At 38.6% G+C, this 19987-nt stretch overlaps 1 long non-coding RNA gene across 3 annotated transcripts in view, besides 1 other annotated feature; it reads right to left on the reverse strand.

The window, feature by feature from the left end:
• The window catches only part of LOC105378641 (uncharacterized), a 227461-nt gene that overhangs the window by 83289 nt on the left and 124185 nt on the right, over positions 1-19987 (reverse strand). Inside the window, exons 4-6 of one of the 3 annotated variants that reach the window (XR_001737965.2) lie at positions 17967-18100; positions 6432-6485; positions 354-541 (exon numbers count right to left, since the gene is read on the reverse strand). This is a non-coding gene — a long non-coding RNA (uncharacterized LOC105378641). Of the gene's footprint in view, positions 1-353; positions 542-6431; positions 6486-17966; positions 18101-19987 lie in introns of those variants that run through there. The other 2 variants (XR_001737964.2, XR_001737966.2) reach the window with 2 other exon arrangements.
• Positions 8306-8806: an enhancer, noted in NCBI's record as "H3K4me1 hESC enhancer chr1:35015054-35015554 (GRCh37/hg19 assembly coordinates)". NCBI's record gives its function as "activates a minimal SCP1, AML or CMV promoter by ChIP-STARR-seq in naive H9 embryonic stem cells {active_cell/tissue: H9 hESC(naive)}" and the evidence as "EXISTENCE:reporter gene assay evidence [ECO:0000049][PMID:30033119]".

Here is a 19987-nt window from a genome sequence, read left to right on the forward strand (position 1 = left end):
ACAGTCTTGTAGATAGAAAATCCAGAAGAATTCACTAAAAAAAATTAAAATTAAATAAGTTCAGCGAAGATACAAGATCAATATTTAAAAATAAGTTTTCTTTCCATACACAGGCAATAAACGTCCTGAAAATAAAGTTAAGAAAACAAACTCATTTACAATAGCATCAAAAAAATACTCAGGAATAAATTTAACAAAAGAATTGCATGATTTGTACACTGAAAACTATAAAATAGTGTTGAAAGAAATTAAAGAATATCTAAACAAATTGAAAGACATCCATGTTCATGGATTGAAAGGCTTAACATTGTTAAGATGGATTGCCATCAATCACAATGAGATACCGCCTTACAACGATTAGGATGGCTGTAATTTCAAAAGACAAGCAATAACGAGTGCTGGTGAGGATGAGGAGAAATTAGAACCCTCCTACCTTGCCAATATGATTTGTAAAACAGTGCAATCACTTTGGGTAACAATATGACAGTTCGTCAAAATGTTTCACGTAAGTTATTCAGTAATTTCGCTCCTATGCATATACCTAAGAGAAATGAAAACATACATTCATACAAACACTTGTACAAAAATGTTCATAGTAGCATTATTTATAATAGCCAAAAAGTAGAAACAATACAAATGTTCATCAACTGGTGAATGGATAAATAAAATGTGGTATATCTATACAGTAAAACATTATTCTAATTAAAAAGAAAGAACGTACCAATATGTGCCACAATATGGATGAACCTTGAACACATAACAATGTTTCAAAAAAAAGAAAGAAGCAAGTCACAAAGACCATATATTGTATTTATATAAAATGTTCATTTATATAAAATGTCCAGAAATGTCCAGAATAGGAAAATCGATAGACACAAAAAGTATGTTAGTGGTTACCTAAGACTGGAGTAGGAGGCAGGGACATATAAGGAGAGACTACTAATGTGCATGGAGTTTATTTGGGGATACAAATATATTCTAAAATTAGATAGTAGTGATGGTTGTGCAAACTTATCAACATACTTCATTCAATGTACAAAAAACATTGAATTCTATAACCTAAATGGGTTAATTTTATGGTGTATCAATTAAGTCTCCATAAAGCTATTAAAAATTATCATGGTTCATGGGTAAGAAGACTCAATATTGTTAAAGTGTCAGCTCTTCCCAACTTAATCTATAGATTCAACACAATCCCAATGAAAACCCCAGCAAGTTATTTTGCAGATATCAATGGACTGATTCTAAAGGGAGCCAAAAGACCCAAGATAACCAAAACAATATTGAAGGAGAAAAATAAAGCAGAGGACTGACACTACTTAACTTAAAGACTTACTATAAAGCAATAGTGATCAAGACAATGTGGTATTGGTGAACGACTAGACAGACTAATGGAACAGAACAGATAGATCCACCTAAACACAGTCAACTGATCTTTAACAAAGAAGCAAAGGCAACTCAATGGAGAAAAGACAGTCTTCTCAACAAATGATGCCTGAACAACTGGATATCCACATGCAAAAAGCTGAATTTTGACACAGATCTTATATCTTTCACAAAAGTTAACTCAAAATGAAACACAGACCTAAATGTAAAAGACAAAACTATAAAACACCTGGAAAATAACATAGGAGAAAGACTAGATGACCTTGGGCTTCACAATGACCATTTAGGTACAACAAAACAGTATAATCATTGAAAGAAAAAAAAAAAAGATCAGTTGGACTTCACTAAAGTTAAAAACTTCTAATTGACAAAAGACACTGTTAAGAGACTGAAAAGATAAGCCACAGACTGGGTGAAAACATTTGCAAAACACATATCTGATAAAGTAATTGCGTGTAAAATATGCAAAGAACATTTAAAACTCAACAATGAGGAAAGAACTACCCCAATTAAAAAATGGGCAAACAATCTGAATAGACACCTCACCAAAGAAGATATATAAGTGATAAATAAGCTGTTCATTATCACATATCATTGGGGAATTGCAAATTAAAACAAAGCGATAATATATCAAATGTTGACAAGGATGAGGAGCAACAGGAACTCTCATTTATTGCTGGTGGGAATGCAAAATAATACAACCACATTGGAAAACAGTTTGGCAGTTTCTTACAAAACTAGCTATACTTTTACCATATGATCCAACGATCATGTCCCTTGGTATTCACCCACATAAGTTGAAAACATGTCCACACAAAAACCTGCACACACAAATGTTTATAGAACCTTATTCATAATTCCAAAAACTTGGAGACAACCAAGATGTCTTTCAATACCTGAATGGATAAACAAACTATGTCATATCCATTCAATGGAATATTTTTCAGTGATTAAAAATAAGTGAGCTACGAAGCCATGTAAAGACATGGACAAACCTTAAGTGCATATTAATAAGTGAAAGAAGCCAATCTAAAAATGTTTCCACAATGTATGATTCCAACTACTGTAAATAATATTCTGGAAAAGGCAAAACCATGGAGACAGTAAAAAGATCAGTGGTTTCCAGGAGTTTGGGAGGAGGGAGGAATGAATAGGTGGAGCCTAAGAAATTTTAAGGCAGGGAAAGTATTTTGTATGGTACTATAGTGGTAGACATATGCCATTAAACATTTATCAAGATTCATAGAATGCACAACATAAAGAGTGAACCCTAATCTAAATTACAGACTTAGCTATTAATAATGTGTAAATATTGGCTCACCAATTGTCACAAATGTACCACACTAATGCAAGATGTTAATAATAGGGAAAACTGGGGGTGGGAAGAGGGGATATGGGAATTCTTTATACTTTCTACCCAGTTTTTCCATAAACCTTGAACTACTCTAAAAAATACAATCTATTATATTTTAAATGTTCCCCAGTTATTTCTTATATGCAGTCCTGTTGCATATCACCAATCTAAGCACATAAATATTCTTCATTCTTCAGAGTTAACATTTGTTCTTGTCACTTTTCACAAATAAAATAAGCAGATAATGTTTTTAAATTATCATATAATATTTGGTGCATCCAAAAGATTTCACATAACCTACATGTGAATTATACAGCATGATAATAAAGTGAATATCCATTTAAAAACTAGAATATTATCAGTATTGTTGCATCCACCTGTATGCTTCTCTTACATCCCATCTTCTTCCTTCCCTCAGTGGGAATAACCATATTCCTGAATTCTGCATTTATCATTCTCGTGCTTCTTGGCATTAGGAGGGCAGCTCTGGAGCCTCATTGTCTAGATCGTTGCTACTGTTGTAGGCAGCTTCTAAAATGGCCTCCAGTGATCCCAGCCACCTGGTATTCATGCCTTTATATAATCCCCTCCCCTTGAATGTGGGTTGGACCTAAGGACTTTCTTCTAATGAAAAGAATATAGCAACCTTGATGGGATGTCACTCCCAATATTGAGTTGCAGAAAGATATCTTAGCAGCCATCTTGCTCTCTCTTCCTTAATTGCTCTTTTATTCACTGTAGTGGAAACCAACTGCCATGTCCTACAGAAAGGCTGACATGGCAAGAAACAGACAGACCCTCCATCAAATAAGCCCAAGGGACTGAATCCTACCAATTGCCAGTAAATGAGCTTGGAAGTAGATGCTTCTCCAATCAAGCCTTAAAATGACTGCAGTCTCTGAAGACACTTTGCAGCTTTGTGAAAAACCCTGAGTTAGAGAACCCACCTAGCCACACCTAGATTTCTGAGCAGCACAGACTGAGATACATGGTGTTATTTTAAATTGCTAAGTTTGAGGGTAACTTATTATGTAGCAATAGATAACTAATATGGGCATATATCAGCTATGTGATCTTGGGAATTACCTATAAACTCTGTGTGTCAATTTCATAGATATAAAATAGGTAAAATAATGGTACTTTCCTTGTGGGTTTTAGAGAGGAAAAAATAAATGTATACATAAAAAAGCTTGCTATGGTTTGTATGTGTTTCCCAAATTTCATGTGTTGGAAACTTAATATTCGAATTCATATGTTGATGGCATTTGGAGGTGAGGCCTTTGAAAGGTAATTAGAATCAGATAAGGTCATTATGGTAGGGCCCCCATGATTGAACCAGAGGCTTTATAAGAAGAGAAAGAGAGATCTGGGCTAGCATGCTCTGCCCCCTCACCATGAGATGCCCTGAGCTGCCTTGGGACTCTACAGAGAGTCCTAACTAGCAAGAAGTTCCACACCCATGCAGCCCCTAGACCTTGGATTTTCCAGCCTCTAGCGCTATAAGAAATAATTTTTTTCTTTATAAATTACCTAGTCTCAGGTACTCAGTTATAGAAACAGAAAATTGACTAAGACAAGCCTTAAGATAGTTTGTGGTGCAGAGTAAGTGCTCAGTTCATGTTAGCTATCCAGTTTTTGTTACATGATATATGTATAGATTCTCCATTGAATATGTATCCAAGACCCACCATCTCCTTACATAAAAGCATAAGCACACAGTGCTGATGTTGGGATTTTGGTCTACATTTGTTATGCCTATTTATAGGAGCTCTTATTTTATTAAGATAGGGGGACTAGTTTCAGGAACTGAACCCCACTGATGAGATGGGATTTATTAAAATGTGTCTAAACTAACTGATTTTCATGGGATCCTTCATGTCAGGGATGTGGTGAGACTACTCAGAAGACATTCATGCTGCACAGGAGAGATCCCATTCCTTCTCAGCCTTTGGTTTTCTGACTGACAAATACAGACCTTTGTGACTTCTTCATATGGTTACATGTACCATTCCTCTGAGGCCTCTCTAGATCATCTTAAACCAGATGTGGCAGAAGCAAGACACAGGGATCTGAGTGTGGACAAGTGAAAGTTAAACAAGATACTGAGAAGTGTATTTCTAAAACTCAGTGATTTGATCATTCTCCAACACTGATATGTTCATGGGACTCCAGCTAGGACTTCAGAGTTTATACAAAGCCCTCACGAAAGTGTAGGGGCCTGGAGTCCTGCCTGCCTGAGTTTGCCATTTTTCCCTTTCTTCCCCCAGGGTTGGGTTCTGATATTCCATCTTTCTGCATTTCCTTCTCTTAAGTAGGGAGTCCTGGAAACCCACCCTCCCTTAGAATAATGTTTCCAGACTTGCTTGATTCTATGACTCATGTAGGTGCTTGCTAGGTACAGATTTAAAGACCTCACTCCAGACCCCTTGGATTCGAATCTCCTGATGAAGAATCTGGAATCTATTTTTAACAAGTACCTCCGGGTAATTCTTATCATAAGCCAAGTTTGGGAAACACTGTCTTAGAACATTTTACTTTCATCTTTCCTCTGGTTCTGGGATAGTGAATAACTGCCAGTGGCAGACATCATTAATTGATCACAGGACTCTTTCACTCTGAGCCTGGAGAAGGCCTCAGAACCCATAACAAGCACTTGAGGCAGCCACCAGTCATCAGGGGGAGCTACAATGGAGGTGAAATATAATTGCCATCCCTGCTCTAGTGAATATGTATTCTTGTGGTGTTGACATTTTCTTGATCTGTTGATGGATATACAAGAAGTCCAAATGAAAAGACTCTGGGAGAACCCAAGTCCATCTAGGACTTTCTGCTGACCTGTTGACACCTCCACAGACAGATATTTTCAGAGAGAGGTCAAAGGTCTCCTCTTTGACCCCTCTAGTGGGTATTTTCCTCCTGTTTTTCCAGAGAATAAGTTCACACTGGTCATGGGGCATGGTAGATAGTGATAAGAGTATATCTGCTGACCATACTGGAGGATACTAGGAGAGTGTGGGGTGAGGAAAGTTTTGTGGGGTGTTAAAACTTTTGAGTCTTGGTCACAATGTAGCACTTAGAGTGGGGCTTAGATGCCTGTGATGATGGCAGATCCATAAAACTTCCTTGATTTCTTCCACGGTGCCTCTTTTCTCTCTGTATTACTCCAAGATGCTAAAGTATCACCACTGTAAAGGAATGGGCCAGACCAGGACCAGATAATAGAATAACAAAGCTCCTTAAAAGGCTTGAAGGTTAGTTAGTATGGGAGACAAGCAGGAAATCGTGCTATTGCAGAGTGTGATTCCCATGGAGAGCCACTAGGTGCTGTGAGGACAGACAAAAAGGAGAGGCTGATCTGCCCTGGAATTGGGAGCAGGGGAACAAGTGTGGAGGCAAAAGAAGTGATTGCAACAGAGCCCTGTTACGTAAGTAAGAGTTGAAAAGAGAGAAAAGGCATTCCTGGCAAATATCCACACAGAAGCTTGCAGCTGCTCACTTCCAGGGGTCAAGTAGGAGTGGGAGCATGGCTGGAGGGCAGCCTGTGTACTTGGGTAGGGGAAGGGGCAGGGAGGGCAGGGTATGGCTGGCCCTGGGGCTGGAGAGGGCAGCAACTGACCAATCTAAGAGAAGAGATCTTAGAGGCTCCTACTTGAACAGTTTGGTCCTGTTTGATCATCTTACAGAAACTCACCAGTCCATAAGCCTGCACACATGGAGCTCCCATTGAGCATTTCAGTGCCTCCTTCTCAAATATGAAAGGTAATCAGTGTCGCCAGATGTTTGAGGAACCACAGTATCATGGAAAGAAAACAGAAAAAAAAATCAGAGGAAATAGAAGCAATGTACAAAGGAAAAAAACAACCAAATAATTAATATTCCCAGAGATACAGGGGGAATATTATATCCTTAAACAAGAATACATAACTATTTAAAAATAAATATTAACAGAAAGCTCTTAAAAATTAAAAATATTGTAACAGAAATAAACAACTCAATAAGATGACTGTAAAAATAAGTTAAGAAGATCTTCAGAGAGAAGCACCCAACTCAAAGAGATGGAAAACGGAAGAAAGTGTAAGATTACATATAACACCAGTATAACAGCCAGTATTTATTTGAATAGCAGGAGTTCCAGAAAGAGAGAAATCAAAGGGGAAAATTATTGAAGTAACAAACTATGACATGAGTTTCTAGATTGAAACGGCCACCAAGTGCCAGAACGATGGATGGAAAACGTCCCCTACTCACTGATATTCAAAGAATCAAGGATCAGAAAAGCATCAGACTTCTCAGCATCAACACTGAAAGGAGGAAGCAATGAAGAAATACTTCAAAGTCCTGAGGGGAATGGGGGATGATTACCATTTTACAATTTTATATTCAGTCAAACTATTAATCAAGTGTGAGAATATAATAGAAAATCATCCCTCCTGTACAAGATCTCAAAATATTGCTTCCTGTGAATCCTTATGCAGAAAGCTACTGAAGGATATTCCCCACCAAGATAAGAGAGTAAATCAAGAAAGTGGATGTCCAGAATCCAGCAAACAGGAATTTAATACAGGAGAGGGCCAAGGGAATTCCTGATTTAATGATGAAGAGAAGTTCCAGAATGACAGATGAATGGCAGACCATGTTAGAGCAGGAGAACCAAGGAAAGAATTAAACCAATACATAATTTGATAGATGTCAACATATTTGAAAGACAATTATAATTCTTCCAGAGAGCTCAGGCATGAAATAGCAATAGATACATACAAAACCAAGGAAGTGACAAATCAGGGCAATGAAAAAACCCAAGGAAAGCAACAAAGTTGTACAATAGAGGAAATATTAATATAATCATGGCACACCAAGTAACTCAACTTGAAAATAATATAATCATAATAATTTAAATACTGAATACTAATATTGTCCCCAAAATGATGTTATATTCATATTGAGAGGATAAGAGGATATGTGTTTGTGGGGGATAAGAGAGCTATAATCCTCTTCTTACATAGAAGGTCATTAATAAATGATAAGTAATTTTAAAAAACAGTAGAATAAACATGTTTCTTAAAAATATGGAGTTAATACTGGAAGAAACAACTAGAAGATCTGAAAATGGTTGCTTTGGGGAAGAAGGAACCAGGAGAAATAAGAATGCTGCCTTCCCTTCAAAGTCTTACGTAAATATTTATTATTCTAAACTAGGTAGGGAGAGAGTGCCCGATGGCTGAGTAGATGCAGCCAGGACAAGCATCTCCCACTGAGGGACAGGGCATTGGGAATACTGGCACACTCCTAGCAAGTCTTCAGAGGGAAGACACTGAGAACAAATGGAGGGAGGATGCAGATGCTTGGCTGAAGTGGGAGGAAACCCCTGCATGGGGCTACTATGCACCAGAACTCATTTCTGGCTCCTGGTGACTCCTGGGGAAGGTGGGAGCTAAATAGACAAGGAGCAACTCACTCTCTCCACGGGCTTCTGGAATCCCAGCAGGAGATCCCTTGACCACTGTGGACACTTGAACCGGCAGGGGGAGCTGCTCAGAGAAGTGGTAGGAGCAGAACTCCAGCCAGAGCAGAAACCGAGTGCTTGGTGTGGGAGCATCTGTAGTGGAGCACAGCCACGGTCGCCCATCTCCCTAGGTTCAACTCACTCCTATAGGAGACTTTAGCCCTAGGGGAACCATAGGACCTGAACTCTGCATGGTGGTCTTGCCTATGAGAGGGGGCCCATCCTACCTGAGCACCTCTCAATCTGCTGTCTTCTCTCAGGCACACCAGCCTGGCTGCACCTGCTTGCAGTGTGGCCCCAAGGCACCTCCTGGGAGCCCACATCATAGCTCCTGTGCTGGTGGACTGTGTCTGATGGGCACAGTACTCCAACAGAGCCATCTCAGTGGACAGGCACCAGCTCACCCCCCACTGCAGCCTGCCTTCATGCCCCTTTGCCCACATGCACTCACCCATGGCTAACCCACAAATTACTCTGTGGGTGGGTGTGTGTGCAGGCATACTTTGCCTTTCCTCCCCCTCCAGCATGTGTGGAGGGGCACCCTGCCATGCCACTGCTGCCTGTGTATGTGCATCCCACCCTTCTCCCCGCTGCTGAACCACCACTGTAGTTAGAACATTGTCGGGGACAGAGCCCACCAGCCCCGCTCCTGCCAGGGCCCACTCCTGTGCTGAAATTATCACCAGCATGAAACTAGACATGAAGAAAAGCAGACCTAGCCCTTCCCTGAGTGGCCACTCCTGCCCATGGGAACACACACAGAGTGTGCACACAGTCCTGCACCAACCAGTGCCCCACCCCTGCACTAACATCACTGCTGGTTCACACACCCACAGTTATGGGGAGGGGCGTTTTCCCAAGCCAGTGCTGTCAATGCCAGCCACTGCTGCAAACACCCACATGGAGGTTGGCACCCCGGAACCCACTAGCACCCTGCTGCAGTCAACAAGCATACAACCCACAGTGCTGCAGCTGCTGTTACTAATGACATGTAGTGAACATGGACAGATACCTCTGCCACCACCCTACAAAGTACGGTGTAGGTTTGGCTGGCACTACCCATCGGAGTGTTGTGACCAGTGGTCCAGGAGTAACTCATCCCTTCCCGCACAGCAGGTTCCTAACCTTGAGGAGCCAGAGAACAAAGTGGGGGTCTGATACTAGTTCCCCAGTTCAGTCCAGGAGTCCCAAACTGAGCCTTGCCCCCCTAAAATCTTTCAAACATGAAGCCAGTCAACTGAACCCACCTTATACCACAAGGGTCACCAAATGGAATAAAAGAAAAAAAAAATCCAAAGGACAGAAAATGTAAAGACTGAAGGAACATCACCCTCACAAAGATGAGAATGAACCAGTGCAAGAACTCTGACAATTCAAAAAAGTCAAAGTGCCTTTTTTCCTCCAAATGATTGCACTATTTCTCCAGGAAGAGTTCTTAACCAGGATGAGATGGCTGAAGTGATACAAATAGAATTCAGAATAGGAATAGGAATGAAGATCACTGAGATCCAGGAGAATGTTGAAACTCATCTAAGGAAGCTAAAAGTCACAATAAAAAGATGTGGAGCTGACAAAATAGTATAGAAAAGAACATAACTGACCTGATAGAGCTGAAAAACACACTATGAGAATTTCATAATGCAATTGCAAGCATTAATAGTAGAATAAACCAAGCTGAGGAAAGAATCTCAGGGTTTGAAGACTGACTTTCTGAAATAAGACAGTCAGACCAGAAGAAAGAATGAAAAGAAACAACAAAACCTCAGTGAAATATGGAATTATATAAAGAGACTGAATCTATGACTCATTTGACATCCCTGAAAGAGATGGGGAAAATGGACGCAACTTGGAAAACATAGTTTAGGATACCATCCATGAGAACTTCCCCAATATAGCTAGAGAAGCTAACATTGAAATTCAGGAAAACAGAGAACTCCTACAAAATACTTCACAAAATATTGTCCCAAGACACATAATCGTCAAATTCTCCAAGGTCAAAATGAAAGAAAAAAACGTTAAAGGTAGTTAGGGAGAAAGAACAGGTCACCTACAAAGGTAAGTCCATCAGAGTAACAGCAGACGTCTCAGCAGAAATCCTACAAGCCAGAAGAGATTGGGGCCTATATTCAACATTCTTAAAGAAAAGAATTCCAACCAAGAATTTTCTATCCAGCCAAATTAAGCTGCATAAGTGAAGGAGAAAGAAGATCCTTTCAGACAAGCAAATGGTGAAGGAATTTATTACATGATCTGCCTTACAAGAGCTCCTGAAAGAAGCACTAAGTATGGAAAGATCATTATCATCCACTACAAAAACACACTTAAGTACACAGACCAGTGACACTATAAAGCAACCACACAAACAAGTCAGCATAATAACAACCTAACAACACGATGACAGGATCAAATCCACACATATCAATACTAACCTTGAATGTATTATAAATGGCCTAAATGTCCCAATTAAAAGGCACAGAAAGGCAAGCTGAATAAGGAAGCAAGACCCAATGGTATGCTATCTTCAAGAGACCCATCTCACATGCAATGACACCCATAGGCTCAAAATAAAAGGATGGAGAAAAATCTACCAAGCAAATGAAAACAGAAAAACAAAGAGGTTGCAATCCTAATTTCAGACAAAACAGACTTTAAACCAACGAAAATTTAAAAAGACAAAGAAGGGTATTACATAATGTTAAAGGGTTCAATTCAACAAGAAGACATAACTATCCTAAATATATATGCACCCAACACAGGAGCACCCAGATTCATAAAGCATGTTTTTAAAGACCTTCAAAGAGACTTAGACTCCCACACAATAATAGTGGGAGACCTCAACACCCCACTGTCAGTATTAGATCATTAAGGCAGAAAATTAACAAAGATATTCCAGAGCTGAATTCAACACTGGACCAAATGGACCTAATAGATATCTACCAAACTCTACACCCCAAAACAACAGAATATGCATTCTTCTCATTGCCACATGGTATATACTGTAAAATGGATCACACAATTGGACACTAAACAATCCTCAGCAAATGCAAAAAACCAAAATCATACCAACCACTCTCTCAGACCCCGAATGGTATGAACAATATAATTGGAAATTGAGATTAAGAAAATCATTTGGCTGGGTGAGGTGGCTCACGCCTGTAATCCCAGCACTTTGGGAGAGCGAGGTGGGCGAATTACCTGAGGTCAGGAGTTTGAGACTAGCCTGACCAACATGGAGAAACCCCGTCTCTACTAAAAATACAAAATTAGCCAGGCGTGGTGGTGCATGCCTGTAATCTCAGCTACTCAGGAGGCTGAGGCAGGAGAATCGCTTGAACCCATGAGGCAGAAGTTGCGGTGAGCCAAGACGGTGCCGTTGTACTCCAGCCTGGGCAACAAGAGTGAAATTCCATCAAAAAAAAATCGTTCAAAACCATACAATTACATGGAAACTAAACAACATGCTCCTGGATGACTTTTGGGTAAATAAAGAAATAAAGGCAGAATTCAAGAAATTCTCTGAAACTAATGAGAACAAAAATACAACATACCAGAATTTCTGGGGCATGGCTAAGGCAGTGTTAAGAGGGAAATTTATAGCACTAAACAGTCACATTAAAAAGTTAAAAAGATCTAAAATTAACAACCTAACATCACAACTAAAAGAACTAGAGAAACAAGAACAAACCAACTGCAAAGCTACAGAAGACAAGAAATAACCAAAATCAGAGCTGAACTGAAGGAGATTGACACATGAAAACCCATTCAAAAGATCAAAGAATCCACGAGCCAGTATTCTGAAAAAATTAAGACAGACAAATAGCTAGACTAATAAAGAAAAAGAGAGAAGATCCAAATAAACACAATTAGAAACGACAAAAGGGATATTATCATTGACCCACAGAAATACAAATAACCATCAGAGAATACTGTGAACACCTCAACGCACATGAGCTATTAAAACCTAGAAGAAACTGATAAATTCCTGGACACATACATCCTCCCAAGACTGAAGCAGAAAGAAACTGAATCCCTGAACAGACCAATAATGAGCTCCAAAATGGAATCAGTAATTTTAAAAAACCTATCAACCAAAAAAATCCCAGGACCAGATGGATTCACAGAATTCTACCAGATGTACAAAGAAGAGCTGGTACCATTCCTACTGAAACTATTCCAAAAATTGAGGAAAAGGGACTCCTCCCCAACTCACTCTATGAGGATAGCATCATCCTGATGCCAAAACCTGGCAGAGACCCAGCAAAAAAAAAAAAGAAGAAGAAGAAAGAAAAGAAAACAAACCTTCAAGCAAATATATTTGATGAACATTGATGCAAAAATTCTCAACAAAATACTCGCAAACTGAATCCATCAACACATCAAAAAGCTTATCCATCATAATCAAGTAGGCTTTAACCCTGGGATGCAAGGCTGGTTCAACATATGCAAATTAATAAACATGATTCATCACATAAACAAAAGTAAAGACAAAAACCACATGATTATCTCAATAGATGCAGAAAAGGCTTTCAACAAAATTCAACACATATTCATGTTAAAAACTCTCAACAAACTAGGTATTGAAGGAATATACCTCAAAATAACAAGAGCCATCTATGACAAACCCACAGCCAATATCATACTGAATGGGTGGAAGCTAGAATGGAAGCATTCCACTTGAAAACGGGCACCACTGGATGCCCTCTCTCACCACTCCAATTCAACGTAGTATTGGAAGTCATGGCTAGAGCAATCAGGCAAGAGAAAGAAATAAAGAGTTTCCAAATAGAAAGAGAGAAAGTCGAACTATCCCTGTTTGCCGATTACATGATTTTGTATCTAGAAAATCCCATAGTCTGTGCCCAAAAGCTCCCTGGGCTGATAAGTAACTTTAGCAAAGTTTCGAGATACAAAATCAATGTACAAAAATCACTAGCAGTCCTATACCAACAACAGGCAAGCCAAGAGACAAATCAGTAATACAATCCCATTCACAACTGCCACAAAAAGAATGAAATACCTAGGAATACAGTTAGTCAGGGAAGTGAAAGATCTCTACAATGAGAATTACAAAACACTGTTCAAAGAAATCAGAGATGACACAAACAAATGGAAAAACATTCCATGCTCATGGATAGGAATAATTAATATCATTAAAATGGCCATACTGCCCAAAGCAATTTAGAGATTCAATGCTATTGCTATCAAACTACCAATGACAGTCTTCACAGAACTAGAAAAAAACTATTTTAAAAATCATATGAAACAAAAAAGGATCTCGAATAGCCAAGTCAATTATAAGCAAAAAGAATAAAGCAGAAAGCATCATGCTACCTAATTTCAAACTTCACTACACGGCTACCAAAACAGCATGGTACTGGTACAAAAACAGACATATAGACCAATGGAACAGAATAAAGAGCTCAGAAATAAAGCTGCATACCTACAACCACCTGATCTTTGATAAAGCTGACAAAAACAAGCAATGGGGAAAGGGCTCCCTATTCAACAAATGATGCTGGTATAACTGGCTAACCATATGCAGAAGATAGAAACTGGACCCCTTCCTTATACCTAATACAAAAAAAATCAACTCAAGATGTATTAAAGACTTAAATGTAAAACCAAAAACTATAAAAACCCTGGAAAACAACCTGGTGAATACTATTGTGGACATAAGACCTGGCAAAGATTTCATGAAGAAGATGCCAAAAGCAATTGCAGCTAAAGCAAAAATTGACAAATAGGATCGAATCAAACTTAAGAGCTTCTACACAGCAAAAGAAACTATCGACAGAGTAAATAGACAACCTACAGAATGGGAGAAAATATTTGCAAATTATGCATCTGACAAAGGTCTAATATCCAGCATCTATTAAGACACAAACAAATTTATAAGAGAAAACAAATAACTACATTAACAAGTAGGTAAAGGGCACGAACAGACACTTTTCACACCAGTCAGAATGGCTGTAATTAAAAATTCAAAAAATAACAGATGTTAGTGAGGTTGCAGAGAAAAAGGGAATGTTTATACACTGTTGGTGGGAATGTAAATTGGTTCAACCATTGTGGAAAACAGTGTGGCAATTCTTCAAAGAGCTGAAAACAGAATGACCATTCGACCCAGCAAACCCATTACTGAGCATATACCCAAAGGAAAGGAATATATATTGTTCTTTCATAAAGACATATGCATGTGTATGTTTATCACAGCACTATTCTTAACAGCCAAGTCATAGAATCAACCTAAATGCCCATCAGTGGTAGACTGGATTAAGAAAATGTGGTACACTCTGCTCAAGCAAATAAGAAAGGACACAAACAAATGAAAAAACATTCCATGCTCATGGATAGGAAGAATCAATATCATGAAATTGGCTATACCGCCCAAAGTAATTTATAGATTCAATGCTATTCCCATCAAGCTACCATTGACTTTCTTCACAAAATTAGAAAAAACTACTTTAAATTTCATATGGACCCAAAAAAGAGCCTGTATAGACAAGACAATCCTAAGCAAAAAGAACGAAGCTGGAGGCATCACGCTACCCGACTTCAAACTATACTACAAGGCTACAGTAACCAAAACAGCATGGTACTGGTACCAAAACAGATATATAGACCAATGGAACAGAACAGAGCCCTCAGAAATAACACCACACATCTACAACCATCTGATCTTTGACAAACCTGACAAAAACAACCAATGGGGAAAGGATTTCCTATTTAATAAATGGTGTTGGGAAAACTGGCTAGCCATATGCAGAAAACTGAAACTGGACCCCTTCCTTACACCTTATACAAAAATTAACTCAAGATGGATTAAAGACTTAAATGTAAGACCTAAAACCATAAAAACCCTAGAAGAAAACCTAGAGAATACCATTCAGGACATAGGCATGGGCAAAGACTTCATGACTAAAACACCAAAAACAAGTGCAACAAAAGCCAAAATTGACAAATGGGATCTAATTAAACCAAAGAGCTTCTGCACAGCAAAAGAAACTACCATCAGAGTGAACAGACAACCTACAGAATGGGAGAAAATTTTTGCAATCTATCCATGTGACAAAGGTCTAATATCCAGAATCTACGAGGAACTTAAACAAATTTACAAGAAAAAAACAAACAACTCCATCAAAAAGTGGGCAAAGGATATGAACAGACCCTTCTCAAAAGAAGACATTTATGCAGCCAACAAACATATGAAAAACAGCTTATCATCACTGGTCATTAGAGAAATGCAAATCAAAACTGCAGTGAGATACCATCTCACACCAGTTAGAATGGTGATCAATAAAAAGTCAAAAAACAACAGATGCTGGCTAGGATGTGGAGAAATAGGAACGCTTTTACACTGTTGGTGGGAGTGTAAATTAATTTAACTATTGTGGAAGACACTGTGGTGATTCCTCAAGGATCTAGAACCAGAAATACCATTTGACCCAGCAATCCCATTACTGGGTGTATACCCAAAGGATTACAAATCATTCTACTATAAAGACATGCACACGTATGTTTATTGCAGCACTATTTACAATAGCAAAGGCTTGGAACCAACCCAAGGCCCCATCAATGATAGACTGGATAAAGAAAACGTGGCACATATACACCATGGACTACTATGCAGCCATAAAAAAGAATGAGTTCAGGTCCTTTGCAGGGACATGGATGAAGCTGGAAACCATCATTCTCAGCAAACTAACACAGGAACAGAAAACCAAACACCGCATGTTCTCACTCATAAGTGGGAGTTGAACAACAAGAATACATGGACACAGGGAGGGGAACATCACACACCAGGGCCTATCAGGGGGTAGGGGGCTAGGGGAGGGATAGCATTAGGAGAAATACCTAATGCATGTGGGGCTTAAAACCTAAATGACAGGTTGATGGGTGCAGCAAACCATCATGGCACATGTATACCTATGTAACAAATCTGCATGTTCTGCGCATGTATCCCAGAACGTAAAGTATAATAAAAAAAAAATGTGGAACGTATATACCATGGAATACTATGCAGCCAAAAAAAATGAGGTCATGTCCTTTGCAGGAACACAGATGGAGCTGGAGGCCATTATCCTTAGCAAACTAATGGAGGAACAAAAAACCAAAGACCACATGTTCTCACTTATAAGCAGGAGCTAAACAACAAGAACACAGAGACACAAAGAGGGGAACAACAGACACGGAGGCCTAATAGAGGGTGGAGGGTAGTAGTAGGGAAAGGAGCAGAAAAAATAACTATTGGGTACTAGGCTTAGCACCTGGGTCACAAAATAATCTGTACAATCCCCATGACGTGAGTTTACGTATATAACAAACCAGCATATGAACCCTTGAACATAAAATAAAAGTTTTAGAAAAATAAAAATAAATTAAGTACATGAAATTTAAACATGGGCTACATATTAGATGATGGCAATGAATTGATGTTAAATTTCTTAGTTTTGATAATGGTATTATGATTATATAGGAGAATGTCTTTCATTCTCAGGAGATACATGATAAAATGTTACAATGCAATATAATTTTAAATCATTAATCAAAAATAGATAAGTAGACAGATGAGAAAATAAAGCAAATGTGACAAAATGGTAACTGGAAAATCTAAATAAATGATATATAGATGTTCATTGCACCTTCCTTTTAACTTTTCTGTCGATTTTTTAAATTTTATTTTTTTCTTTCCAACTTTTATTTTAGGTTTGGGGTACGTGTGCAGATTTGTTACGTGGGTAAATTACGTGTTGCAGGTGTTTGGTGTACAGATTTTATCACCCAGGTAATGAGCATAGCACCTGATAGGTAGTTCTTCGATACCCTTCTCCTACCCTTCACCCTCATGAAGGCCCCAGTGTATATTGTTCACTTCTTTGTGTCCATATGTACTCAACGTTTAGCTTCCATTTACAACTCGGAACATGCAGTATTTGGTTTTCAGTTCCTATGTTAGTTTGCTTAGGATACTGGCCTACATCACCATCCATGTTGCTGCAAAGGACTTGATCTCATTCTTTTTTATGGCTGCATAGTATCCCATGGTGTATATGTACCACATTTTCTTTATCCAGTCTACCATTGTTGAGCATTTAGGTTGATCCCACATCTTGGCTATTGTGAATAGTGCTGTGATGAACATACAAGTGCATGTGTCTTTATGGTAGAATGTTTTATCTTTATTTGCGTATATATCCAATAATTGGATTCTGAGTGAAATGGTAGTTCTGTTTTAAGTTCTTTGAGAAATCTCCTAGCTGCTTTCCACGGTGGCTGAACTAATTTACATTCCCACCAGCAATGTATATGTGTTCCCTTTTCTCCACAACCTTACTAACATTTGTTATTTTTTTGCTTTTTAATAACAGCTAGTTCTGACTGGTGTAAGGTGGCATCTCATTGTAGTTTAAATTTGCATTTCAAAATAAAACATTTAGGGGGAAACTAGGTACATGTGTTATTCTGATAAAATTAAAATTTAAAAATAAAACACTTGACCCAATGCCTGGAGTATACATCACTTCAAAATGTTAGCTATCATTATTATTTGTGTTATCATCATTATTTGTATTTTGATTTGTATTATCATCACCATAATCATTATTTCTCAACGTGTATTTCAGTTGAATAGAAAAGACAGTGATAGATCACTGGTTGTTACTCCCAGATCATGATAGGAAAAGGTATCAACCAAAGAAAATTTTCTTCTGGCATGCTACTCACCCAGGGCCTAGGGCTTATGTAGAGCACTGGAAACGTAAGCAAAAATGTTCCTCCTTAGATAATGCTCATGGGCCACAGCTGGGTGACAGATCAAGTCACCTCTGGCTTGAGATGGTCAGAGAATGGCCAATGGTCTGGATAAAGAGATATAAAGGAAGTAGAATCACAAATTAGTTGAGGGTAAATCTCAGGTGTCCAACTTGGTAGATCTGGGTGGGTGATAGGATGCTGCCTAGACCAAGACCAGCCACCTTGATCTTCACAGCACATCACACCAGAATTGTTTAAGAATCTACATTGACTCCCACGTCCAGGACCATCCCAAGGCCTGGAACCTGTTATGACTTTTCCTTTCTAAATGTGATACATTCACAACAGGCCCTACTTCAGTGTTTTCTGTCTGATTGAGAAGACTTGAAAGGTCTTCCCAGAGTGAATCCTAAACAACTTAATATTGCAGGTCCCAACAAGCTCCATAGAACTGCAGATTTAGATACTTCAATGTGCACTGCCCCTACGATCCAGGGTCACTTATAGATGCTTAAAGAAATGCAGTATAGAGACCATCTCAGGTGAACTCATGTTCCCATGTCTCTGTTTTGAAGTCCCAGGTCACTTTGAATTGGTGTTTTCTGCCTCTGGGTGGAGCCTCTAGCCTCAGAGTAATAATACTCTGTTATAATACGCTGGTATAAGGACATACATATCTATACACATATATATCCAGTCTATCCTCATTATTCACAGATTCCATGTTTGTGAATTTGCTTACATGCTAAAATTTATTTGTAAACCCAAAATCAATTTCAATATTCACAGTGCTTTCACAGTCATTTGTGGACATGTGCAGAGGAGGAAAAAATTCAAGTCACCCAATGTACACACATTCCCAGCTAGGGTCAGACAGGTGACCTTCTGCCTTCTTGTTTCAGCTCTCACACTGTAAACAAGTGTCCTTTTCACAGTCTGATTAGCGTTCCTTTTTTTTTTTTTTTTTTTTGCATTTTTATGCTCTTTCTTGGTGATTTCACTATTTAAAATGGCCTCCAAGAATAGCACCAGAATGCTCTTTAGTGTTCCTAAGTATAAGAAGGCCGTGATGTGCCTTCCAGAGAAATTACATGTGTTAGCTAAGCTTCTTCCAGCCATGAGTTATAGTGCTATCGGCCATGAGTTCAATATTAATGAATCAACAATATATACTAAATAAACTATCTTTAAAGAGAAATCCACATAAAATAAGGTTACATATTAATCAGTTTACAGAAATGTTGAAACCATAAGCTTACAGAAACCTAACCTTGTATTTCTCCTAGGAGCAATGGTTCATTACTTGCTAATTCGGTAGCTGTGGCAACTTTGTAGAATGTAACTTTCATGAATAACAAATGTGAGTGGTATATTAATCTGTTCTCACGCTGGTATAAGGACATACCTGAGACCAGGTAATTTATAAAGGAAAGAGTTTTAATTGACTCACAGTTCCGCATGGCTGGGGAGGTCTCAGGAAACTTACAATCATTGTGGAAGGGAAAGCAAATACATCCTTCTTCACAAGGAGCGTATTTGCACAAGGCAGCAAGGAGAAGTGTCAAGCAAAAGGGAGAAAAGCCCCTTATAAAACCATCAGATCTCACTCACTATCACAAGAACAACATGAGGGTAACTGACCCCATGATTCAATTACCTCCCACTTGATCCCTCCTACAATACATGCGGATTATGAGAACTACAATTCAACGTGAGATTTGAGTGGGGACACGGCCAAACCATATCAAGCAGTATATGTATGTTTGTGTGTGTGTGGTATGTATATGGATATATGCACATGTATATATCTTACCTATGCCTTTTTGAAGGGTAATATGAACTGGTCCTCCTTCATTCATTTATTTTTTCAAAACAACCATCAAATGCACTACTTCTAAGGTAACAGAGTACAATTCAGGGTGTGGCTGAAAGAGAGAGGACTGATATAGAGTAAGTATGGAAATAATAATCAAGCTGGTTGACTAGATAAG

This window comes from Homo sapiens, chromosome 1, assembly GCF_000001405.40.
Source record: "Homo sapiens chromosome 1, GRCh38.p14 Primary Assembly".
Lineage (NCBI taxonomy): Eukaryota > Metazoa > Chordata > Mammalia > Primates > Hominidae > Homo > Homo sapiens.